Source organism: Homo sapiens, chromosome 9 (genome assembly GCF_000001405.40).
Source record: "Homo sapiens chromosome 9, GRCh38.p14 Primary Assembly".
Taxonomy (NCBI): domain Eukaryota; kingdom Metazoa; phylum Chordata; class Mammalia; order Primates; family Hominidae; genus Homo; species Homo sapiens.
This window is the reverse complement of record NC_000009.12, coordinates 28414370-28441560: the sequence shown is the minus strand read 5'-3', so window position 1 is coordinate 28441560 and position 27191 is coordinate 28414370. Positions and strand designations below refer to the sequence as shown.

The following is a 27191-nucleotide window of genomic DNA, read 5'->3' as shown; positions in this document are numbered from 1 at the left end:
GGATGTTCCACCCTGGCCACCAAATCAAATTATCTGGAGTCACATTTCCTAGGAATCTGCTTTTTCAATAAGTGCCTAAGTTAATTCACTGAAGCTTGAGAACTAACATGAAGTATGGGCTAAAGTCTATCAAAGGAAGTATGAGGTAAAGTCTATCAAAGATGAACAAAGTGGTAGATTTCATACTTCTCTTTATACAAAGAGCTTCTGTATTTAACTGAAAGTTAGTTTAATATATAAACTTCCTGAAGAGAGAATGGGCTAATTCACCAAAAAAAAAAAAAAAAAAAAAAAAAAAAAAAAAAAAAAGCCTCCAATGAATTTATACTGCTATACTTGTGACTAAGGTCATTTTGTGAAATTTATTTCTCACAATTCTGGAGGCTGGGAAGTCCAATATCAAGGTGCCTCAGCAACTGGTGAAGGCCTTTGTGCTGCACTGTCCCAGGAAGGTAGAAAAAAACTGTGAGAGGGCAAGAAAGTGAAGTAAGTCTCAAGAATCAATTCATGAGGGTGGATTTCTCTTGATATAAATATCTCTCATTACGCCCCACCCTTCAAAACTGTTACATTTGGGATTAAGTTTCCAACACATGCTTTTTTGGGGAAACATTCAAACCATAGCAGCTTGTATATACACTTTTACAGATATGCCTCTAGGTCATTTTCATTCAAATTGTTTTATATATTCTGAATAAGTATGTGAACTGGGAAAACTTTAAAATGCTTTGCTCTCATTTGCATAACTGATAGAAATAAAATATTCTTGTTAATCATTGAGGCATATGTAGTATGTTTCAGCTGATTAATTTTATTCTAATGTGATCTCTGTTTATTTTTAATCCTACTTCATAGGGTAGTCATAGTTGAAACAAAAAAGCATTATCTGAGATATTTATATTCCTTTAGTTATTAAATCCAAAGGTAAATTACTTTTGTTGTTTTCAGAGTTTTTGTGTAATTTTTTTATCCTATGGTATTTCTAAAAGACATGACTACACTTAAGCTCTGGAAGGTTTAAGAAGCCAAAAATATAGGAAGAATTCATGAGACCAATAGTATGTTAATATCAGAGGTAACATTCTGTCCTCATAATTGATGGCTTTGCTTTTCCAAAGGGGCACTATTTCCAAATTCTTCTGAAGAGCTAAAAGACATTTTTCCGGAAGTGAACGTTTTATAAATGTCTTGTGTCTGCCCTTAAAAGAATACCTGTAACTTTATATAACTTCAGTATTCACACCTTTTTATATACATTTGACTTATGAAATATTTTTTATAAATTTCTTATGTATTCATACTTAGTATTCCAGAAATTTTTTCAGCATCCTGAATTCCAGATGCTTCAATTCACAAAATGCACATACTCCTGAGTATAATTTTACTCTTTAAAAATAAAATAATAAATATCAGGGTTTTGAGGAAAACAAAATGTCACTGTGTAAAAACAAGACACTGTGTAAAAACAAGGTATTAAGTTATTCCCTTAAGGATTGTATCAGTCAGGATGGGCTCTGTTATGCCAGGGTGAAAAATAACACCAAATTTCAGAGTCTAACAGCAGCCCAAATTTAGTTTGCTACTGGCATGTACACATCAAGTTATACTCAATTCAGGATTTAGGATTTCAGAGAAGCCACTCTCTGGAACATTGCTCAACCCCATGGGAGGGAAGGTGATGGCAATGTGAATCATACGACAGACCTTAAAGTTTCCTCACAGAGTAACACATATCACTGAACAAAGCTAGTTTCACGGTGTATTAATCCATTTTCAAACTGCTACCTGAGACTGGCTAATTTATGAAGAAAAAAGGTTTGATTGGCTCATCGTTCTGCAGGCTGTGCAGGAACCATGCCTGGGGAGCCCTCAGGAAACTTACAATCATGGCAATAGACAAAGGGGAAGCCAGCACGTCCTATATGACTGGAGCAGGAGGATGAGAGAGTGAAGGGGAAGGTGCTATATGCTTTAAAACAACTAGATCTCATGAGAACTCTACCACAAGAACAGCAAGGAGGAAGTCTGCCCCTATGAGTCAGTCACCTCTGACCAAGCCCCCTCCTCCAACACTGGGAATTACAAACCGACATGAATTTTGGGTGGGGACACAGAACCAAACCATATCACATGGCCATACCAAACCCCAGTGTGCAGGGGAACAGAGTCACACAATATGCCCAAGAGAACCATAAACATTTGATGAACAGCACTAACGACTGCCAGAGGATCCTTGCTTACTGGGCATTTTCATTATATATATATATGAAACACACACACACACACATATATATACATATACATATACACACACACATATATAGTATGAATATATATTATCTCTATTTCATAATATGTAATGTATAGATATCTATATTTCATTATCTATAATGTGTAAATATATATTATCTGTATTTCATTACATATAATGTATAAATAGATATTATCTATATTTCATTATATATAATGTATAGCTATTATCTATATTTCATTATATATAATGTATAGATATCTGTATTTCATATATAATGTATAGATATCTGTATTTCATTATATATAATGTATAGATATTATCTATATTTCATTATATATAATGTACACATATTATCTATATTTCATTATATATAATGTATAGATATATATTTCATTATATATAATGTATAAATATATATATTTCACTATATATAATGTATAAATATATATATCTCATTATATATATATATATATATATATGTATATATTTTCTTCTTCCTTTCTTAAACATCAGAACTATCTTCCACAGCTGGCTTTCTGAAATTTAAGACAAAGGCATTAGCCCTTGATGACCTTCAGTGGCAGTAGTAAAGATTTGTAAGCTTAATTCCTCATTACTACTTGCCAATAGCTGATGCATTAGTCAGGGTTCTCCAGAGAAATAGAACAAATAGGACATATGTAGATATGCAAAAGGAAATTTACGCTAGAAATTGGCTGATGTGATCATGGAAGCCTAAAAGTCCCACAATATACATTCTGCAAACTGACGAACCAAGAAAGCTGGTGGTATAATTCAGTCTGAGGCTGAAGACAGGAGAACCAGTGGGACCACTTATCTAAGTCCCACAACCTGAAGACCCAAGAATCAGGAGCTCTGATGTTTGAGGACTGAAGAAGATGGATGTCGCAGCTCAAGAAGACGGAAGGAAAATTTGTCCTTCCTCTACCTTTCTATTCTATTTGGATCCTTAACAAATTAGATAGCGGATCTTTTTACTAGATCTGCTGATTTAAATGCAAATCTCTTCCAGAAAAACCCTCTCAGACACACATGGAAATAATGTTTTACTAGCTATCTGGGCAACCTTTAGCTCACTCAAATTGACCCATAAAATTCACCATCCCACCTGGTTTGGGAGAGAAAAAGACTAGCTGGACGATAATTTTTTTCAATAGCCATAGAAATCAATATAATCAGAAAGGGAACCATCATGAAAGCCCTAGGCCTTTGGTGTGACAAGGAAAGGAGAAAACTAGATTACTGGAGCCAAAGCCAATGTTTCAAACTTACAACTTCCCCCATATTCTTAAGTCACTTGTTTGATAATTATTGTATGAAAAAAAGTCTTTTTCTTTGTAAGAAATACATTTGGAAGAGGAGGAGGTAGTTGGATCTATGGTGTTAACACTAAAAATTAAACTGTTAAAAATGATATGAAAAATTATGCCTGGCAGAATTTTTTTTGTGCTACATTGAAAAATTATGAAAGGGCCTTCTGAGCCAAATATATGTTGTTTGTCCTTCAGAACCCCTCTTCATTGTTCTCTATCTTTCTATAGGCTCAAGAAGTCTGATGTATGTAGCTCCCTTATCCTTTGGCTTCCTGAGTTTAACAATTGGAGATGGCATCAAGAGATGAGAAAGGGGGAGAGGAGATACATTGGTCAGGGTTTTCCAGAGAGATAGAAGTGATCTGTATGTGTGTGTGTGGGTGTGTGTGCGCGTCTGTGTGTGTGTGTGTGTGTGTGTGTGTGCGTCTGTGTGTATATGTGTCTGTGTGTATAGGAAGGGATTTATTAGGGAAATTGGCTCATGTGATTTTGGAGGCTGAGAAGTTCCACAACAGGCTGTCTGCAAGCTGGAGACCCTGGGATGCCAGTAACATGTCTGCGGCCAATTGTGACAGCCTCAGGACCAGGGAAGCCCATGACATAATTCTCAGTCAGATGCTGAAGACCCAAGAATGTGGTGAGTGGGGAGGCTGCTCGTGTAAGTTCTAGGGTCCAAAGTCTGAAGAGTCTAGAGTTACGAAGTACAAAGGCAGAAGAAGAGTGTCCCAGCTCTAGGACAAAGAAAGAAAAGTGTTTGCCTTTCCTCTGCCTTTTTGTCTTATCTGGGCCCCAGCCCAGGATCGTGACCACTACATTGAGAGTGGACCTTTTCCACTCAGTCCACTGACTCATAAGCCAACCTCCTTTGATAACACCCAATAGGCACATCTGGATATAATGCTTTACCAGTTATCTTGGTATTCCTTAATGCAGTCAAGTTGATACCTATAAGTAACCATCACATTGAGGTATTTGAACCCCAGTTCACTCTGCCAGGTCTTCAAAGGGTGGCCCCTTTCCTTTATTAAAAGCTGCAGCTCGTATCATATGACCCTCTCCACAGAGCTATGCTTTCAAGGCTCCAGGAACCGTTCCTTACCCTTGCCCTATCAGGCCTTGCGGTGGTAAGGACTTCCTCCTCTTGCTACCATGCAGTACTGCCTTATCTCTTCTTCATTTCTCTATACCCCGACACGCTTTTATAAATACTCTTCCTGGCCGGGCGCGGTGGCTTATGCCTGTAATCCCAGCACTTTGGGAGGCCAAGGCGGGCGGATCACGAGGTCAGGAGATCGAGACCATCCTGGCTAACACGGTGAAACCCCGTCTCTACTAAAAATACAAAAAATTAGCCGGTCGTGGTGGCGGGCACCTGTAGTACCAGCTAATCTGGAGGCTGAGGCAGGAGAATGGCGTGAACCCGGGAGGCGGAGCTTACAGTGAGCCGAGACTGCGCCACTGCATTCCAGCCTTGGCGACAGAGCGAGACTCCATCTCAAAAATAAATAAATAAATAAATAAATAAATAAATAAATAAATAAATAAATAAATTCTCTTCCTTATTCTTCTCTCTCAAACAGACTGTCCCATTTCCTGCCAGAATCCTGACAATCACCGTCTCCAGGTATTAAGACATATGTCTATGTTCAGTGCCAATAGTTAAAACTATTAGGTTGCAAAGGTCTTGGCAGAAACTAATCTTCCATTAAGATTTTATGTTCTTAGGATCTCAAAATTATTTTTATTATATAAAGAGTAAATTTAAGTCTTGACTTTACCAAGTGAAAAACAAAACATAACAAATACTTGAAGTCCTTGCAATTACAGGTTGTTGCTATGGATAATTTGGTCAAAAGCTTCTGAGAAACTGTGGAGTGGGCTATTTATTATGTTAAGAACAGAAAGAAAGACTATTAATAAAACCCCCAAGTTAGTAATCTTGGTAACTGCTTTCTATTGCGGATCACTGCTGGCCGACACAAATAGAAACACTGAAAATGAAATAAGTGGCAAGAATGTTAAACCAACCTGTCAATCAATCAGTGAGTATTTACTGTTCTAAAATCTCACGTCCCCAGTGCACTCTTTCTATTGATTTATCCAACAATTTTCCAAGTTTTGTTCATTCTATTATCTTTTGTATTGATTTTTATTACTCTCCATTGACCCCAATTGCTCATAATAACTGCAGTCTCACATGGTCCTTTGTCATATCACTTTCCTTCTTAGTCTGATACTCATTCTCCAAGGAGAGAGCTACTTGATACACAAAACCAGGAAGGGATATTGTCATTCTAATCCTAGCCATCAGGACTGAAGATCATGGGACAAATGTGTAAGCCTGCATTCCAGTAACCAATCTACATTGTTTTTTCTCCTATTACATTGTCATTCTATGTTAAATTCACAGTCCTTCACAGTAATCTTGATGTCAGATAGAATGACAATTGGGCATCAAACCTCACAGTCCAGAGATCATTAGAACGTTTGTGAGCAACTCCTATTTTTCTATTACATGGCATGTTTTTGTCCTAGAAATATGAGGCATCACAATTTTTGCTAATTTAGAAGTTTTCTTGGCCACAAAGCACAATAACCCTTCTTCTTACATATAGTGATACCGCTAAATAAAATTTGACATGATTCTTAGATAACAACATTATAAAGGTACTAGAGTGTTAAATTATGAAATATGGTTAAAATGACATAATAAACAAGACTTGAATTACTTTACAGTAAAATTGAACAGGTTTTTGTTTAATGTATAGCCTTTAGTGTCTGTAGTTGTTTGAATCTGGTCTATATTATTTAATTATTTCCTGTAGTGAGTTTGTTTTAATATTTGTATACTGAGTGCTCAGTTTATGTTCTTTATTATAAAAAATTACCAGTGACAAAGTTTGTTTCCCAAAAGTTAACTCTGCTAAAGAGAAAAAAAGTGGGTCTTTTCACAGGGAATTTTTTTTAAGTAAAATGAAAGTTTAAGGAAGAAAAATGTAGAGGTTATAGTCGATTGAGAGAGCCTGGAATACTCTAAGCTAACAATAGAATGGTAAAATATAGTCTTCATGGGTTATATCAGTGTTTCATTTTTCCTCCTTCTTCTTTTGTACAAGTGTTCCATGAAAATAGTCAATAAACCTTTTAAAAACAATAGATAAGAATAGATATCCAAGCTGTGACTCAGACTAGAGAATAAAATAAAAGTGAGTCCAAATTATGGATTAGGAAAGAAACAAAAGAGAAATATTCATATCTGATTGTATTGGCCTTCTCATTTAAAGTAAATGTGATAAAAAATTTGGCCTTGAGAGCATAAGAGAATAACGAATGTATGGCGAATACTGAGACAGAAGACTTCTGGTTTGATAGAAGCCAATTACAGGAAGGATAAAAATGTCATTTCTCAAGTCCCATCTCCAGTATTTTTTTTTTTTTTTTTTGATGCTCAAGAACTTTATTCTGGCAGTGCTCTTACAAGATAGATAGTTATAGAGAAAGCAGGTTGTAGCATGGGCCAGACACAATCAGGGTTCAGATGATTGACTAACCAGGAGGGTCTCTGTCCTCTATCTGAATAATGTTCTCAGTATTTTGGAGACTCTTCTCTCTTTTTTTTTTTTCCTTTTTTTCTTAATTTTTTTTATTTTAGTAATTTTTAGGGTACAGGTCATTTTGGGTTACGTGGATAAGTTCTTCAGTGGTGTGTAGTCATTCTTTCTGACTACACAATTTGTAGTCTTTTATCCCTCACAACCCTCTCTTCCCACAACCCATAGTCCCCAAAAGTCCATTATATCATTCTTATGCCTTTGCAGTCCTCATAGCTTAGCTCCCACTTGTAAGTGAGAACATACGATATTTGGTTTTCCAATCCTGAATTACTTCACTTAGAATAATGGCCTCCAGCTCCATCCAAGTTGCTACAAAAGACATTATTTTGTTCCTTTTTTTGGATGAGTAGTATTCCATAGTAGTATAGTAGTATTTTCATGTGTGTGTGTGTATATATATATATATATAGAGAGAGAGAGAGAGAGAGAGAGAGAAAGAGAGAGCACATTTTCTTTATCCACTCATTGGTTGATGGGCACTTGGGTTGGTTCTATATCTTTGCAGTTGCAAATTGTGCTGCTGTAAACATGCATGTGCATGTGTCTTTTTCATATAATGATTTGTTTTCCTTTGGGTAGCTACCCAGTAGTGGGATTGCTGGATGGAATGGTAGTTCCACTTTCAGCTCTTTAAGGAATCTCCAAACTGTTTTCCATAGTGGTTGTACTAATGTACATTCCCACAAGCAGTGTAAAAGTGTTCCCTTTTCACCACATCCATGTCAACATCTAATGCTTTTTGCCTTTTTTTGACCATTCTCGCTGGAGTGCAGTGATATCTCATTGTGACCATATCCAGATTTTAATGAAGATTTCTTTATTTGCTTTCAGAAATATGTCTTAAATCTGTTTTTTTCCTTTCCATCAGCACTATCCTAGGCTTTGAGGTTCATCTCTTTCTGGTTTGCATGTCCCTAAGTAGAGGGGACGTTTCTTACTTATCTGCTTTTCTGGCTCAGCATGATGCCTGATATGTTGCATCTTTGCAAATTATATTTGTGTAATAAATAAGAAGTGGAAGAGTTTTGGAGTACACCCAGTGGCTGAGATCTTCCCTTTATATAGGGGTGAAGGGTCACAGCTGGGAGAGTAGGAAAGGGATAACAGGCGTGGGTTTTATAATTTAGGAAGCCTATTTGCAAGATCACATCTTAACATACACTTTTCCAACTTGGAATTGTATGCAATGATGCCTTCCCATGAAACCATCTACTGTTACCTCTTCCATGTCTTTATAATCCACTGCTTTTTAAGAGAGATGATAGCCATTTTGAATGCTAAAAAGTAACAATTAATTACTATGCTTAGTCTTTCTGAATCTATGTTTTTTCAAGAAAATCCAAGATTGGGATTTTTTTAATGCATATTCTTGTTGTCTTACTACTGTCATTTCCTCCTCATTTCTACTCTCTCCAGAAATTAAAACAAGATTTCTTAACAACGTTCATTTTCTACTAGTGGAATTGTGATTAATCTTCAGTATATATGGCTGATAATAAATTGAAAATGTAGTCAAGCTGAAGTCAACGTCTCTTTTATCTGCAATGTTTTATTATGGGAAATTAATAGAAATTAAATACAAACATCAGAATCCTGTATTTTAAAAGTGCAGTTAATACAAAATGTATCTTATAACATTTTTCTATTCTGCATTCATGATTAATGTGACCATAAATGCAAAGAAAATAGAGACAGAATTCAGATCTGAAAGCATTCAGACTGTCCTTTATTAGCCCTGAAGCTGCAATCAAATTAACCCATGTGAATAGATTTATTTTTAATACATGTAAATTGCCACAAAATCAATCACAGTTAATAGGAAGTGGAAACTCTTATAGTTGCCACTCTGAGCAATAACAGGGAAAGTTTTGCCTTTTGATTTTTTCCATCATCAGTTCCTTTCTTTTTCTTGAAATTGCAGTTGAAATATTTCTATTTTATGTATATTAGTAAATATCTTATTATTTTAAATATTAAATTTATATTGATTGGGAAAAATTATTTGTTGAAATTCAGGTACAACTTCAGCTCACATAGTGTCTTTTAGTGTCAAAATGAGCTTTTAATTAAATTCAGTGTCCGTTTTCCACAAGTTTGACCCATAACTAAACTATCTCCCCCAATAGTCATTGTTTATTTTTAAAAAGATGACAAACTAGTATATAACTTCTTCCTTAACAGTAAAGGCCTAAATAATATCTCATCTGTGTGGTCTTCTGACCTTTCCAGGCAGAGCTAATCACTCTTTTCGTATGACCCTACAGTGCTTTTATAGAGTATGGTAAGGCACATTTATTCATATTACATTATGGTTTTTTGATTAAATGCTCATCTGGATGTACATACAATGAATTATTAGGGCAATGACTATATATCAATCATATTGATTTCCCATCACCTACGTATTTAGGGAAAGAGAGAGGGAGTAAGTAAAAACAGAGCACTAGATTTGAAAGGGAAAAAAAATGTCCTATTAAGTATTGTTGGAGACAGAGAATGAATACTTTTTCACTGTGCTTTTGAGGAGAAATCAGCCTAAATTGGAATTCACTTTGGATAAAACATTTAAAATAGCCCATTTAAGATAATTGAACTTCTGTTTATTATATAAAACTGCATCCATAGATGTCAGTGTTTCAGCCACAGGGCTTTCTGAAAGAGTCACAGAATATACTGCAAGGAACTGCCATGAACTGGGAGAATGACCGTAACTGATCTTTTGGTTTCTAACTTTAGTGATTCTTTCCAGACTTATACATGAGTTATTGAATCACAAATTCTGTTTCTGTCAATGCCATAATCAAGGGCCATGGTGCTAGAAATTCTACATAATTTCAATCTTGACTAAAATATTAAAATTCTGTTTCTTTCTTCCAAACAATTGTTCTATAGATCAATCATTTCCAATTATTTAAGGGATTTAATATGTGATTTATCTTTGATTGCGCTCTCTCTTTCTCCCTTCTTCTCTTCTTCCTTTCTTTAATATTTACTGTGCCAGACACTAGGCAGATGACAGGAAAACAGAGAAATTGAGTTTGGTTTGGTTTCAGCTCTCAAATAGCTTTAAGTCTAGTTAGGAAGATACTGGATGTGGTAGACAGTCTCTTAGATTACCTTCTCCACCCCCGACAATGATTCCTGACTCCTAGTATTTATGTTCTCTATAATCACTTCTTGAATGTGGCCAGACTTACTGCTTTCAATGAATAGAAGGTGACATATGTGATGGGATGTGGCTTTTGAGATTAGGTTATTAAGAAAGACTGTTGTTTCTGCCTTGAGTTTCTCTCTCTCTCTCTCTCTCTCTCTCTCTCTCTCTCTCTCTCATCACTCATGCTGTAGTAAGCAAGTTATCATGTTCTCAGAAGCTCAATGGAGAGGTCCATTGGTATACAAGGAAACGAGGCCCTCAGTTTAATCACCTACAAGGAACTGAGGCTTGACAGCAACCACAGGTGAGCTTGGGAAGCAGATTCTTTAGTCCCCATTAGGTGCCAGAATCACTGCAACCCCAGTCAACACCTTGACCACAATGTAATGAGAGACCTTGAGCCAGAACCATCAGCTGAGCCAGCCCTGAGCTCCTGGCATATAGAAACTGTAAAAAAGTAAGCATTTGTTGTTTTAAGCTACCCAGTTTTAGGTCAGTTTGTCACCCAGCAAGGCATAACTAATATGTAATATGACATTGAGTGTAAGCAACCCATTCATTAAAGACAGTATACTGATGGCATATAGGAAAAATATAGGTAAAACAAAAGAAGTCATATCTATTTGAAATAAAATGAAGACAAAAGTCTTTTGATTTTGAATTTAAAAGTTAAGGAGATTTTCTCTAGGAGGATGATATTGGAATGAAAGAGAAATTATTCTAGGAAAAGAGTTACGTGAACAAAGGCTCATAGAAGTGAAACAGTATGGTGTATTTTGTCAATTATAAGTACTTTGTCATGCTTGTGTGCTATGACAGAGCATAGGATGCTATACAAATCTTATATGCCATACTAGGAAGATTGAATTTTATGCTGTAGGGACTGGGATTGAAATTTTGAAAACAAAGTTGGTACCTTTCACCCACCTAAGTCACATGGCTGGCACTTTGACCAGGACCCTCTTCTGCCAAACCTATGAGGAAAGAATCTTCTTCTACACTATGCTCCAGTCAGCTGTCATCAATCAACAATCATTGAAATGAAACTAAGAATCTCGTCAAAATATCCAGAATCACACACACACACACACACACGCGCGCGCGCGCGTGGAAATCAGCCTCTCCCTCTCCCTGACTCCCCATCTTAGGGATTACTTATGATTCTTCCTGGTAGTTTCTGAGAATTAGACACACACATATCTAATTCAATATAGGAAATCTGAAGACATAACTAATTCATCTTCATAGGTGCTACAGGGGTTTGCAAAAGCAGTGACCCAATATTACATATTTGTGAAACTGAACTGCAAATCTCATAACATCCTACCTAGGCTATCTTCAGTTTCTTACATCCCTCCCTCTTTTTTCCTGCTTCTCAATTTTTATATGCATGGATTCAAAGTCTGTTGGAACACCAGGGGCTACATCTTTAGTGAGGTTAAGAAGCCATAAAAGAGAAGATAGAGAAATGAGAAAATGGAAGTACTTTAGTGGTGATGAGTATGGTAATTAGTTTAGTGTATGAGAGCTTGAAGACTATTTTTACTGCCATCTTCTACTCTAAAACTAAAGGATTCCTTGAGTCATTAGACATTTCTAGCATTTCAGGTGTCTCAACTGAAAAAGGTGGGGGTGGTTGACCTATTGAACATCCTCATATAATATCATCAGTTATGCACAGCTCCATATTGGTAGTTCTCTCCTAGATGTTAAAGAGTGGCTAAGAGGAAATGGACCTCAACTACCAAAGAGAGATTGATGTTTCTTGGTACAACTTTTAAACTTCATTCATAACATAAGGGAATATCTTTGGGACTAACACATTGTCATTATACCATATAGGGAAGAAAAAAGGGCTTTGTTATTACCCTATCACTATTTTTTTAATCTAAAATTTTAAAACTCTTGTGAGGTTTTTAGGAAGAAAAAAGTCCAGAGCATACAATATATTCTTATTAATGCACAGTGTCTTTGCAATGTGTTCTGCAAGTTTGCTGGGGCAGGATAATAGCAGAATACTCTTTGTATCTATTTCATTTTTCTTTAAACAGATAAATGTGCTAAGCAAACATTAAACATTTACTGAGCTGTTAAGATGATTTATTAGAATAGTGCTGTTTCTATTTTTCACTGCTATGATACAATTGTCAAAAAAGTATGTAAGTAAACAGTATGCTTTATTTTCAACCAAAATTATTTAACAAGTTAGATTCTTAAGTCAAGATAAAGAATCATGTTCACTTAGAGCTACCTGTTTATATGGCTAGGCCTTTTGAGTGTAAGGATAACCAAAGGGAACTAGGATGCACTAAAAGTTTACCACTTAATACTACTTTACATTCTCCCTAAATGCAGTAGATATTAATTTCATTATTATGCAGGTGAGAAAACCCATCCTTGAAAAATTCAAGTAAGTTGTCAAAAGTCATTCATAACTGACAGAGGCAGTTTCAAATCCAGGTGTGTCTGATTCCAAATCTTCTGCACCTACCATATAACCAGCAGCAACTACGTCTGAACCCACCATGATACTGATGAAAAGCAGAGTCAAGCTTTATAATAGCAGCAACTGCTCTGATTAAAGCTAAGTAAATCACCCATTTTTGAGTCAATTGAGGTCAATGACTGAAAACCCCGCTGCATTGCCAAGCAGTTGTTAAGGTCTGGTTGTTTTGATCAGATGACTTTCTCAGCAATTAACCATCCTGATGAACCAAAGAATTGATTAGACATGAAAATAACCTACTTTTGGAAAATGGAAACACAGTCTAATACAATCTCATACTTTCCTTCCTCTGTGGAGAAGCAGTGATTCTGCTTCGTCAGCCAGAGGATGAAGGCAGGCAAGATCCCCTTTCCTCCTTTGCTTATTATTCACATTGTGATTTTCTTAACCACTTTCCTCAAAGATTGCCCAAAGAATCCTCTCAAATATCAGAAACCCTTGTTCCTGATCCTCAGATGAAATATAAAAGCCAAACAGATGGCTGTTTTGTTTACTGTTCTGTGAAATTGCATTATTAGGTGAGGCATCATTTTAAATTAAGGAGTGATACATGGCTATAACTGGCTTCAACCCATTACCTTTTTATGATTAAGGAATATTTTGCAATGTTAAAAAATCCTGGGGAAATGATCGAAGATGTTTCATGCTGCTACTGTCCTGGGTGCAACTGACTGTATTACACACAGAGACTCTGCAAAGGAAACAGATGTGATACTGTTTACAGAAATAAAGAATAAGATCTAGAATGTAATTTGATGATTTCAAGGGTCTCAATTGAAGAAAGTAGGGGAGGTTGACCTATTGAATGTCCTCATATAATATTATCAGTTATGCCGAGCTCTATATTAGGAGCTTTCCCCTACATCTTAAAGTGGTTAAGAGGAGATGGCCTCATCTAACAAAGGAGTGATGTTTCCTGGCACAGCTTTTTCACCTGATGCATAACACAAAGGAATACCTTTGGAACGAACACATTGTCCTTATGCCACAGAGGGCTGATTTAGACTAATGTGACATTCATTTAAAAGTCTGTGGAATAGGAGCATAAAATTATTGATGAAGAGACAAGTTTAGATAGAAATTAGAAGCCTAGATTTTAGAATGAGACAAATCTGTGAAAAATCCATCTGTATCATATTAATTGTAGAATTTAAGCAAATGATTTAACCTTTATAAACAACCTCAGTTTTCTCATATGTAAAATGAAGATTATCCCTCATGGGATTATGGTGAGGATTAATGGAGAGAATATACATCAAGTGCTAAGTACACAATGAATGCTCAGTAAGTAATAATAGCTAGTTGTTTGAGTAGTGAAGTGATCGTATTCATACACACCGGGCCTTCATATCTCTTAAGCAGGAACATGTGTGAGAGCAGGTGGGCTGGACCACTTGCAAGAAACCCCTCTAGTGCCCCATTATCCATCTATAGCAGTGCTCAGGAGAGAAGGGAGCTCTTAATGTGTTTTTCAACTCCTCTAGACTATGTCTTCTTGTGTTTTAACATATTTGTATCCCTTGCAGCATCTAACCTAATGTTTACTGCATGGGAAGTGCTCATGTGCGGTTTTTAAATGAGAGTAAAATAAATAGGAGAGAAACAGATGATTTATTTGATATCCAAAGCAGCTGAGAGGTATGAAACCAGATATTAGGTTTTCTAAAATGCCTCTATATGCTAAGTGCCAGACTTCGTTTATGGTATATGATAGCTACACCTTTGAAAGGAAATTATAGTAAAATATTAATAAATAAGAATACCAGTAAAAATCAGGACCTCATGCTTTTCAGTTTCAGAGGAAAGACAGAAAGAAGTAACATCTGAAGTGTATCTTGATTGTTAAAGGGGAGTTTGGTAGGTAGATGATAATCTGTGTTCTCACTCTAAAAACAACCAGAAATGCTACAGGCATAAAAACAGGGTAAAGAATGCTCGATGCAATTTCCCTTTAAACAACCTTAGACTATATCTATTGAGCTCCATCCTCTTGGATGGACACTAAACCTCCATTTAAGCCATGTGCACCTCAGGGGCAACCTCTCTGTCCCCATCTTTTACAAACATGGCAAAGGGTATGAAAACATCAGCACAGTATACCTGCATATTTAAAAACTTCTATTGGTAGTGCTCCCTTCAAGCTAACAAATAACAAAACAAACAATGTTTTGATTGCTTTTCTACCAATGGTGGCAGAGTAGTGCTAGTCCATGCAAAATTCATTTCATCCTTTTTACCTTCCAAATTAATAGGTTGTAAATATAACTCTCGAATTACTGAATTTATAGTTTTATTTTAAAAACATGAGCAAAATGTTACTTCTTTTTCAGATATATGAGATTAGTTCTGGAATTACACGTCCTATGTCTACTTCAGTACATGTACTAAATGTTTTATTATATATTATGTATCATTAATATGTTATAGGCAAACCTATAGGGAGGGATATTTTATTTTGGAGGGGGATGTGCTATTTATCATTTTTCCCCAAAAGTGTTTATTGCTAGGATAAATTATTGTCGTTGTATTGTAGCAAGTGTGTGTGCATGTGTGTGTCATCTGTTAATCTGCCATTTTATCTTCATAAAGGCAGAAAGAAGAATTTCATTTTAAGTAGCTGATTTCAGTAATACAGTTCAAAGTATCTTCAATGTGTTCCACTTCAAAACAAATGACTCTATCTTCTCTGAAGCAAAGCAAATTATAGTTATAGATGAATTTAATCTTGAAAATACGCCTAAAGTAGATCTCAAAAAGAAGCAAGCTGAATAGGCATTTCAAAAAGAAAGTAATTTATCTACATTTAACAATAACAACAACAACAAAAATATAGTCAAACTCAAAAGAAATTTCTCTTTGAGAGAGTTCCCATTTTGGCTTCTCTGGACAATACGGTGTGATAACATATTTGATTAACACAGGTCATAGGCAGCTGGTGCAATGAGTATGAAGACACTACATTTTGGAGAAGATGCTTTAGTAGACAAGATCTTTGATTTTGTTGTTCTTAATTTTAAAATGTAGATTTCATTGGATTTGATTTCTACTAGATAAGTTACTTCCCCGTAACCCCTAACAAACGCTATGGTGTTGGATATTGCCCTTATCAACACAGTCGCAAGACAGGAATGTTCCAGACCATGATAAAAGGAAAAAGGCCAGCAGCATAGCACAGTATTACGAGCATGAGCTTTAGTGCCAGGCTGCCTCCACTACTTCTTTAGTACTATCAGAGCAGGTGATTTATCCTCTCTTAGACATCTTCCTTTTCTAAAATGAATATTATAATAGTTTCTACCTCTTAGAGCTTATGTGTGGATAATTGAGCCAATATATGTGTATATGTATGTGTTTATATATATATATATACACACACACATATATACTGTGTATACACATGTATATATACATATACACACATATATAATATATAATATATAATACATATATTTAATATGTAATATATACTTATGTGCAATTATTTCTTTCACATAGTAAGCTCTATTAAGAGTTTTACTTGTATTGTTAAAGTGCAGAATGTAAAGACACTTAAAAGAAACCATGGGAGTTAAAGAAGTTGAAAATTATGTATTAATTATGTATTAATCAAAAACACTAGGGCCCTGCACTGTGGTAGAAAATTTAAAAATAACCCGTTTAAGACCTACTGTACATGAGACATTAAATATGTTATATTATTTGGTCCTCACTATAGCTTTATAAGGCAGGTATTACTATCCTTATTTTACAGAAGAAAAAAATTGAGAAATTAATATACTTATCCAAGACCAATGAACCACTGTATGGTTGAAAGGACTCAAACAAGGCCTGCTTAATTCCAGGGCCTGACCATTTAACTACTGCACAACACTGCCTCTTATGTCATCTTGATTCTTACATATGGAACTCATTGACACAAGTGTAGCTAAACATAGCACCTGGCTAAACAGAGTATAAAAGAGAAATCAAGCCTTGTTGTAATAACTGGAATACTGGATCAAGTTATAGGACAAAAAGTAGTAATTAATTTGGTATTACATTGATGTACTTAAATGACGTCGGCTTACATGTTAATTAACTATTGCTGCATAAAATGCTACCATAAATGTTGTGACTTCAAATCAACTACCATTCATTTAGTTCATGATTCTGCTGGTCAGTTGTTTTAAACATGGCTGGGTTCTGCTAATCTCAGTGAGCCTGATCATATATGTGCTGTTAGTTGTTGTGTTGTCTGGGGACTGACTGATTCCAAGCGACCACACTCACATGTCTGGCAATTGTCTAGCTATTGGCTACGGTACCTCGGTTCTCCCACATTTTGTCTATTCTCCAGCAGGCTAGCCTGGACTTATTCATATGGTGGCAGCAAACCAAGAGTAGAAGCTGAAAGGCCTCTTGCAGGCTAGGCCTAAAAGTTGTATAACTTCACTTCCTTCATGTTCTTCTACACAAAGTGAGCTGAAAAACCAGCCTAGTTTCAATGGTTGGGAAAGAGATTCCTCCTCTTCATGAAGGTGAATAAAAAATATTTTAGGCATTTTCACAATCTGTCATGGCTTATATAGAGGTGATCCTACCAAGTGACTTAATTTCCTTATAAATTAGTATGACAGACAATGTGGACAAGGGGTAGGCAATGGATGGGAATTGGTGGCATGAGCCCATAATACCAGTCTTAACACTATTGATAGAGATCTGGGAAAAAGAGACACCCTCTGAGTGAGGCACTTCATGATTTTTCTATTTAAACCTGATTTAGGAAATAGGGCAGTCGATGTAGCTGTTTCTGAAATTAATTATTGGAAGACCACATTTAAAGATAATAATTTTAAAACACTCCATCATTCTATTTCTCTGAATTATATCTTGAAAACGAACAAAGATTTAGATATTATACACCTTATTCACCCAAGCCGAGAAGCACCACTATTAAGCACTTACATTTTGGTTAAATGAGATTAGTCCTCTAAAACAGCTCATATTTATATAAAACATAGAGTAGAAGTAAATTCAGTTTTCTTCACATGTGAATATTTTATACATATGTAGAGCTACTATAAGATTTTTCCTTTCTAAGAATTACCATGGGGAGTTATAAATCATGCCACTAATCACCCTGGAAATTTTATTCTGAACAGAGTGTAAGCTAATTTAGTGACAGGTAGCATCCTTAATTGATTTAATTTTTAAAGATGCATATGTAGTTCTTTAACCATGGCTGAGAAACCACAAAGGACATTCACTGATAATTCAGTTTCATGGGTTCATTTCCTTTTTTGAAGTTTTAGGTTATTGATGATTAACTTGAATATTCTAGTTCTAAATCGTTTACTGTTTAATTTTTTTTCCCTTATTTCTTAGACCTAGAGTGTCTCAGGATTATTTGGCAAAGATGGGATCTGTTCTGACATGTAGTCTTAGGACATTCTCTTAATATTTAACTGTATATTCCATTTCAAGCTTTACTCAAAAAAGGAAACTTTTTAAAAAATTGTGGTGGAATACACATGACATAAAATTTACCACCTTAACCATTTTTAAGTATATAGTTTAGTGGCACTAAATACATTCATATTTTTGTTTAACCATTACCACGATCAACCTTTGGGACTCTTTTCGTCCTGCAAAACTGGAAATCTGTATCCATGAACAAATAACTTTCCATCCCTCCTTCCTCCCAGCCCCTGGCAACCATCATTCTTTCTGTCTCTATGATTTTGACTATTCTAGGTACCTGATAATAAGTGGAATTATAAGGTATTTGTCCTTTTGTGACTAGCTTATTTTATTCAGCATGATGTCTTCAAAGTTTATCCACGTTATAGCACATGTCAGAATTTCCTTCCTTTTTATTTTTCCTGAAAAATACTCCATTGTATATGTGTACCAAATTTTATTAATGTATTCATCTACCAATGGCCACATAGGCTACATCCATCTTTTGGCTATTGTAAATAATACTGCTATAAACATAGATATACAAATGTCTCTTCAAAATCTTGCTTTTAGTTATTTCACATATATACTCAGAGTAGAATTGCTAGATCACGTGGAATTTATGTTTTTAAGTTTTTGTGGACCCATAATATATTTTGCATTGCAGCTGTACCATTTTACACCCCTACTAACTGTATACAAACCTTTCAATTCATCTACATCCCCAGAAACACTTACTATTTTCTGCTTTCTTTTTTAATAGTAGCCATCCTAGCGGGTATTAGTTGGTAGCTCATTGTCATTTTGATTTGTCTTTCCACTAATGACTGTGATGTTTAGCATCTTTTCATGTGATTGTTGGCCATTTGCACATCTTCTTTTTAAGTCCTTTATTGAAGTCCTTTACCCATTCTTTCAAAAAATCAGGTTGTTTTGTTGTTGCTGTTGAGTTGTAGGAATTATTTATATATTCTGGATATTAACCTCTTTTTAGATATATGATTTGAAAATATTTTCACTCATTATGTAGGTTGCCTTTTTATTCTATTGATAGTGTCATTTGATGCACAATTTCAATTTTGATAGAATTCCATTTGTCATTTTTTATTTCATTTCTTTTCTTGTCTTTGGTTTTGGTGTCACAACCAAGAAATCATTGCCAAATCCCATGTCCTGAAGATTTACCCCTACGTTTTCTTCAAAGAGTTTTATAGTTTCAGCTCTTATGTTTAGGTCTTTGATCCATTTTGAATTAATATGTATATATGGTGTAGGTAAGGTAAGGGTCCATCTTCATTCTGTTGCATGTGGATATCCTGTATTCCCAGTTTGTTGAAAAGATTGTTCTTTTCCCATTGAATGGTCTTGTCGCTCTTGTGGAAAATCATTTGGTTTTATATGAGATGGGGTATTTCTGAGTTGTCTATTTTTTTGGTCTATATGCCTGTATTTATGCAAGGACCACACTGTCATGATTATTGTAGCTTGGTATAGTTGACCCTTGAACAACATGGGTTTGATCAGCTGTGGTACGCTTATGTATGAATTTTTTTCAATTAAATGCAGATGGTGTTCATGGAATGTAAAATCCTTGTATCTAGAAGGTGGACTTTTCACATATGTGGGTTCTCCAGGGCTGAACACAGGACTGGAGTATGAGTGAGTTTTGGTACTCCCTTGGTCCTGAAACTAATCCCCCATGTTTACCAAGGAATGATGGTACTACATTTTAAAATCAGAAAGTGTGAGACCTCTAACTTTGTTTTTTTTTTCAAGACGTTTTTGGCTATTTGTTGTCCCTTGAAATTCCAAATGAATTTTAGGATGGCTTTTTTTTTTTCTGCAAAAAAAATGCTTTTGGGTTTTTTATAGGTATTGCATTAAATCTGGAGATTGCTTTGGGCAGTGTTGACATTTTAACAATATTAAGCCTTCTGATTAATTAAAATAGAATGTTTTTTCATTTATTGATGTCCTTTTTTATTTTTTTCAGCAATGTTTTGTAGTTTTTAGTTACAAGTCATTCATCTTAATTAGGTTTATTCTTGTTCTTGATGCTATTATAAATTAAATTGTTTTCTTAATTTCCTTTTAGTGTATACAAATGCAACTGTGTTAATTTTGTGTTCTACAACTTTGAATTTTTTTTGTTTCTTTGTTCTACTGTATAATGATCATGACAATTTGGGCAAAAGGAAAGCCATTTAGTATTTACCTTGGGAGATATTAAATGGCTTATTATTAAGTGATTTATACAATCACCAACTATATTATTTTCTTTAAACATTTCAGGAATCTTTGAAATTTGGTTAGTATTTTTAGTATTTTTTCAGCATTCGTTTCTTAAGTCATGAGAAATTTACATGCCTGATGGGAAAATCTAGTCCCTCTCGACATGGCCACAAAAGAATGATGAATACAGAAAAAGGTATTCCAAGTCAGTTCTCCATAAATGTTATGATACAGGGCTATCTTACTTTGTGCAAACCTATGGGTTTGACACAGAGAAAGAAAGGAGTGATGGTAAAAATTTTCTGAACTTTAGCAGAATTTATGCCTATTCTCTTTGAATATGGGTCATATTACTTTTATAGAGAACAAATGGTACTATAGTTCAGCCCTGTGACCTGTATCTATACAGAAATCCCTGGCCCCTCCCCAGCAATAGCTGTAAATTAATCCCCTTGATCTGCCTTATTGTCTTTCTTACAAACAATGGTATGCATATGGTAGATGGGAAGTGATATATGAAAAAAATGTGTTTGTACAATAGATGAAGCGAATCTTTATAGTGAGCCAGCAAGTTTAAATTAAAAGTTTTATAACCATAGATGAAGCAAGTCTTTTAGTGAGCCAGCAAGTTTAAATTAAAAACTATATAACCATGAAGGAATGTTCCTCTATTCACTATAAATGGCATTGCTAATTATCAATAAGAAAATGTCACCTGCTGCTTTCTAAAATTGACCTTGTAATTAAGAAGAGACTTAGTGCTTATGCCTGAAGGAGAAATAAGTTTTACAGTAAGAAATATTACTTCTAGAGTATTTGGAAATGCAGATTTATTTTTACGTTTTGCCATGTTTGGATATTTTGGAGCTATAATTTTCTTTGGGCAATGAGACTTCCTTTGTGAAGTCACAAACTTGTAATACTAGGACTCTAAGAAACTATACAAAAAGATGAATTCTATTCTTCCTCAGTTGAGGCAATGGCCTTCTTAACTTTGATATACTATAGCACTGCCAAACATTCAAATGTGTCATTTGATGTTGGTGACTTTTATTTTTTCTTTATATTCAATTTTTCTACCATGCAATTATTTTCTCACTTTTTAAAATTATAATTTGCCAACCTTTTATATTGGCAGCCACCTTACTTATTACTTTTTATAATCCATTTCTTAGTCCATATTTTTAAAATTGAAAATAAATTTATATTTACCGATAAAATTATACATAACTTTGTTCTTTTGTAGTATTTCTATTATTGGCAATGTTGCAAATTTAGATTCTTCAGAATAGAAATTTTAAAACAAAGGATTATTTTATGAATGTCATTGGTCTTAAGGCTGATTTTTTTATTTTTGGCTGAATATGTTTTATTTCAGAACTGTAAAATAGAGAAGTGATATTTTCTTTTCTTTTTTTTTTTAATCTATCTCCACATTTGTTTCTTTGTTCTTATAGGAGATTGAAATGTATTGGCCAGGCTTGTTCTTCTTCCGTTTCTATGTTTAAGGACAAGATGGACTAATGGAGTCAGACTTGCTTATGAACAGTCTTACCTTTATACAACAGCTTACATTAAGCAAATAACCCCTCTGAATCTATTTCCACATCTGGAAAATGGCAATAGTATTACTAAATATAGATTAGTATTGCAAAAATGAAATAATGTTTGTGAACTACTGCTCAATAAATATCCAATAAATGTTTTTCTTTGTTTACACAGCATATACATTTGAGAAAAAACAAAAATTCAAGAAGTTTTCAAAACTAAGCAAAGCTGGAAGATCAAATAGCTTTTATACTATTTGCTGATCGGAAAAAATGATGGAAACATCCCTATTCATTTCCTTAAGTTAGCCTAAATCTGACAGTAAAACAACACGAACTATAAAAGTAACATAAAAGACTACAAAGGAGAAAAAAATATATGACATATTAATTCTGCAGTTTAGTAAAATAATAATATGCTTTAATTATGAGGGATTTACTCTGGAAATGTTACTCTGGACTTACTCTGGACTGATCAAAATTAGAAAATGACTTCAGTAATTGATCATGTTATAGATCAAAGGAGGAAAAATGTGTATGAATATTTTGATTGGTACTAAAAACACATTTGTTGAAATCAAAAATATTCATTCCACATTTTCAAAGACAGTTTTTAACTTGATATAAAGGCTACCTCAAACCATATTAAAGATTATGTTAAATGTTGAAACAGCACAGACATTTCCTTTTGCAATCAAAAATTTCCTTGTAATCAAGAAAGTTCCCTTATAATCAAGAGGCTGCAGCCTCTGATCATTTGCATTTATTAAATGCTTCCTATATGCTAAGCCCCCAATCTAAATGGTCTCTTTTAATCTTGCCATTTACTTTAAGAGATTAATCTTATCCATTTTACAGATGAGAAAATAAGGCAACTGACCCTTAGGTATAAATGTAAATTGCCGTCTGGGCACGGTGGCTCACACCCGTAATCCCAAAACTTTGGGAGGCACAGGCGGGCAGATCACGAGATCAGGAGTTCGAGACCAGCCTGGCCAAGATGGTGAAACCCCATCTCTGCTAAAAATGCAAAAATTAGCCTGGCGTGGTCGTGGGTGCCTGTAATCCTAGCGACTCAGGAGGCTGAGGCAGGAGAATGTCTTGAACATGGGAGACAGAGGTTGCAGTGAGCCAAGATTGTGCCACTGCACTCCAGCCTGGGCTACAGAGCGAAACCCCATCTCAAAAAAAAAAAAAAAAAAAAAGTACATGGCCTAACATTACATAAGTAATAAATGGCAGAGTTAGGACTTATTCTAGGTCCTTGTAATTTTTGGATTCTTAAATATTCAGTGCTTTCTTACTGAACAAGAACACTAATCATATGCTCATGACACCAGAAAATTAGGAAGTCTAAATAAATTATTGAAGGAGTTTGATCTCTGTTCATTAAAAATAGTAGTTATCCACTGGGGGAAAAAATGGAACCTCTCTTAGACTTCCTTAAATTGTGGTTCAATTTAGTTTTTAGTGCTTCAAGTCTAAGAATGATAGTTCAGTCCCCTTTCTTACCACCCAAGGAGTTAATGATTAGAGTTTTCTGAGAAGATGGCCACAAATTCATTGATTAGTTCACTCATAAAAATCCATTCAGAACCTACCTTTTGCTATATATTTTTCTGCAGGATGAGGGATATGGAGATGAATACAACTGAGTCTTTACTTTCAAGATACTCACAGTTTAGTAGATCCAACAAGCATGTAAACAACCTAATAGTATGACATGAGTAACAATAAAAAGTTATACATGGTACACAGATATTGCACACAAGGTAATGACACACTATTGAAAGTAGGAATGGCATTTTGTTAGGGATGTCTTCTTGAAGGAGACCACATTTGAGAAGGATTGTGAGAGTTCTATAAGAGTTCATCACGTAAAGTGAAATAGCAACCTGATGTTTCTGCAGGGAACCACAAACTATGTATTACATAATTAAGGGAAATTTTTCTAACCTTATGGAATAATTATCTCCTAATAATTATGTAGTGTATTATTTCTATATTATCAGACTTATCAGATGCTTATTATTCAGGCCAATGCCACATTTTAAAATATAATTACTATCATAATTACTGGATAAATAACAAATAAAATATGTTAAAGTGATCTGCTTTGATTTTATTCATTATGACATTTAAATGTAGCACCTAGGACTGTGTTGGCTTTCATAATGTCTTTAAAGGAAAAGTATGGGACTGAACACCACTGAACTGCAGCCATTCCTAATAGGGCTTGGTTTAAACTTCTCCTCCCTGCCCATTTCATGTCCCTGAAAACCAGAAACAAGTTGGCCTTGCCAGAGTCCTTCACAGACTAACCATTTCCCCAGTGACTTCTTTTATAAATTCCACAGCAATATATAACTGAATCAGCTTTTTTTTTATCTGAACTCCTTACTATATTGCAATAGTTTCCATCTACAGTGATTTATTCACTAGGTCAGTTACAATCTACATACTTATGTACTTGATATTTGCAATAAATTGTGTATTTCTAAAGGGCTGTAAGGGTATATAAATGCATATGTGTACCCATGTATTTCTTTTATTAGTACAAAGAATTGGGTACATATGTACAATTCTTCATCTAAGTAGGTATGGAAGGAAAATGTATACATTAGATTAAAAAATACAAAGGATTTTGTCCTATATTGTATGGCTTTATCTTAACATTAACAGCTTAAATATAACCTAATAAAAGCGTCTTCTTATACTCTGCAGCTCTCTGGACGAAAACACTCCACTGTTCATTGCTTTTGAGACAGGTTCTGACCTTTTCTAAGATACTCACAGTGAGGAGATAACATGTCATATTTTTTTCTTGATAGACATTTTGAGGGCCTCTTGCATGGGATTTGAAGCTGAGTGTGCTGGGATAGAAGGGATTCACTCATTGTAATTCATTTGGAACACTTTGTAATCTTGAGTTTCCCTATCTCTCTCTAAAAATAATTAATGCTTCACAAAAGGTAATATCTCTTGAAGCAAATTTAATTTAAAAATCTATTTTAAGTGATAGTGAGGTGATGACACACTTTAGTAAATTGTGGATGTTCAAAATATTCTTAGAAATCAGTTTTGTGTGTGTGAGTGCTTTAAATTCAAGAATCACAAAGGAGAGAAAACCATAGCAATTCTGTTCTTTTTAAGGAATGCTGTTGATTATAATGATTACTACCCAAGCTTATTAATCTAGCATCTTTAATTAAACTGGATAGTGATGAAGTATATTTATTTAACAGAAAATGTTTAATTTTATGAAAAGAGTATAATTTTCTGGCTTTACTTGTGTGGTCAGAGAAAGCAGATTGTTTACATATCTGCTATAGCTACTCCTGTCACATGTGATAGTGGTATAATGAGCAATTTTGCCTAAGATTTTGATAAAGTAATCAAAAAACATAAAAATCCTCAATCTTTACAGTTTTTTTATACAAATGAAAAGTTGAGCAGATAAATGGAAATAATTTTGTTCAAGTCTTTGGTTTAATAAGGTGTATTGTATCCTGCAAAAATCTAAACTGAATAGTGTTAAACACTTGTTGATCTTTCTGAATATAACAGAGATCACAACTGCAGTTCATATAAATATACTAAAAAGATATTATTTTCATCCATGCATTTATGTAACTTTTTTTAGCACTTACTATGTGCCAGCCACTATATAATAATTGCTTGTAAAACAGGATTACAGCTCTCATGGAACATATAGTATAACACTTTTTCTGTAAAGGTACGGATGGACAAATAAAATAATTAAAAACTAAGGTGCTGTTATAGAAAGTGTTACAAGATACAGCATGGCCTCCCTTAGCTAAGGTTGTGAGTGTATTTGAGATTATATTTAAACTGGGTCCTCATGGATAAACAAATGGAAGAATACTTCCAGGAAAATGGTAGTGCATTCAGAGACCCTGAATTGGAGAAAAGATCGGAAGATAGGAGCCAAGTGAGCTCCAGCAAGAGCATCTCAGAATGAGGTAGCAGTTAGAAGGGCCATTTCATGCAGGACCTTGCACGCTGCAGTAAAGAGTTTAGGATTTATTGTCAATATAATGGGATGCCATTGATCATTTTGGAAAGTATTAACATCCAGACGTCATTTAAAATATATTATCCTGCCTGTTGTCATCAAAAACATTTTGACTGTGTCAGAAGTGGAAGTAGACAGGCTGGAGAGGGAGCTAAGAGAAAGACCCAAGGTCCTGGAGTTACTGAGACAGGGATTTGATAGTTTCCTATCCATTCTACTGCATTATGGGAGTGAACTTTTTTTAACTAAAAATAGAAGGAACTAGCACGTGAATTGATTAATATTCTAAATGCATGTCGAAGAATTTGTCATTATCAGTGATTTTGGTGCATGTCCTTCTATTCCTTTTCTGCTCTCTGTTTTTCTCTTTTTTTATATGTGTTCTGATTATTGTCACTTAACAGTATAATTAATGACCACATACCATTAAATAATTTTCTACAATGTTATCTTTTAGACACAAAATTTTACTGCTTAGATATACTATATGTTTATTTAAATAACCCCTTATTTTTTTAACTCTGGACTTGTTTTCAGTGCTCTACTATAATAAACAACTTTTCAAGAATTTTCACTCACAAAATCTTAATGCCTATCTTGAATGATCTCCTGAGGATATATTATTTGTACAAAACCATCACTTTCTGTAAAACAAATATCCATCATTACTGTGGCAAAAACACAGAACAATGAAGCCCAGTTGAGGGGAGGCTGTAGGGCAATCAGCTTGGTGCACTCATTAATAAATGGCTCATTAATACCCTTCAAAAGTGTCTCCCACCCCCATCAGAAGATGATTCAAATTTATATTTTAACAGTCCAGCATGTTATTAGTTTCGGGGACTCTAAAGGTTTTAAACAAATAGTTGGAACTTTGAATATTAAATACACAGTTGGTAAGGTATATTTTCTCTAATCTCCTTCTAAAACAGTTCATGATTTAGAAAATGATTGGCAAATATCAGCCCCTCAATGCTCTCTTCTTTTTGCAGCAGGTTTTGAAGACTTGCAAGCACATGGTGAGGGAAAATATGTGTTAAAATTTGTTTATCCATTTATGTGTATTTAACAAAAT

General features: G+C 34.6%; 1 protein-coding gene across 14 annotated transcripts in view; it reads left to right on the top strand.

The window, feature by feature from the left end:
* The window catches only part of LINGO2 (leucine rich repeat and Ig domain containing 2), a 1275985-nt gene that overhangs the window by 772041 nt on the left and 476753 nt on the right, over window positions 1-27191 (top strand). For 2 of the 14 annotated variants that reach the window (XM_047422814.1, XM_047422815.1), the window contains exon 5: window positions 5169-5212. The exons of the other annotated variants lie outside the window; for them this stretch is intronic. The gene's annotated coding sequence lies outside the window, so the exon portion shown is untranslated. The remainder of the gene's footprint in view (window positions 1-5168; window positions 5213-27191) is intronic. 14 annotated transcript variants of the gene reach the window in all.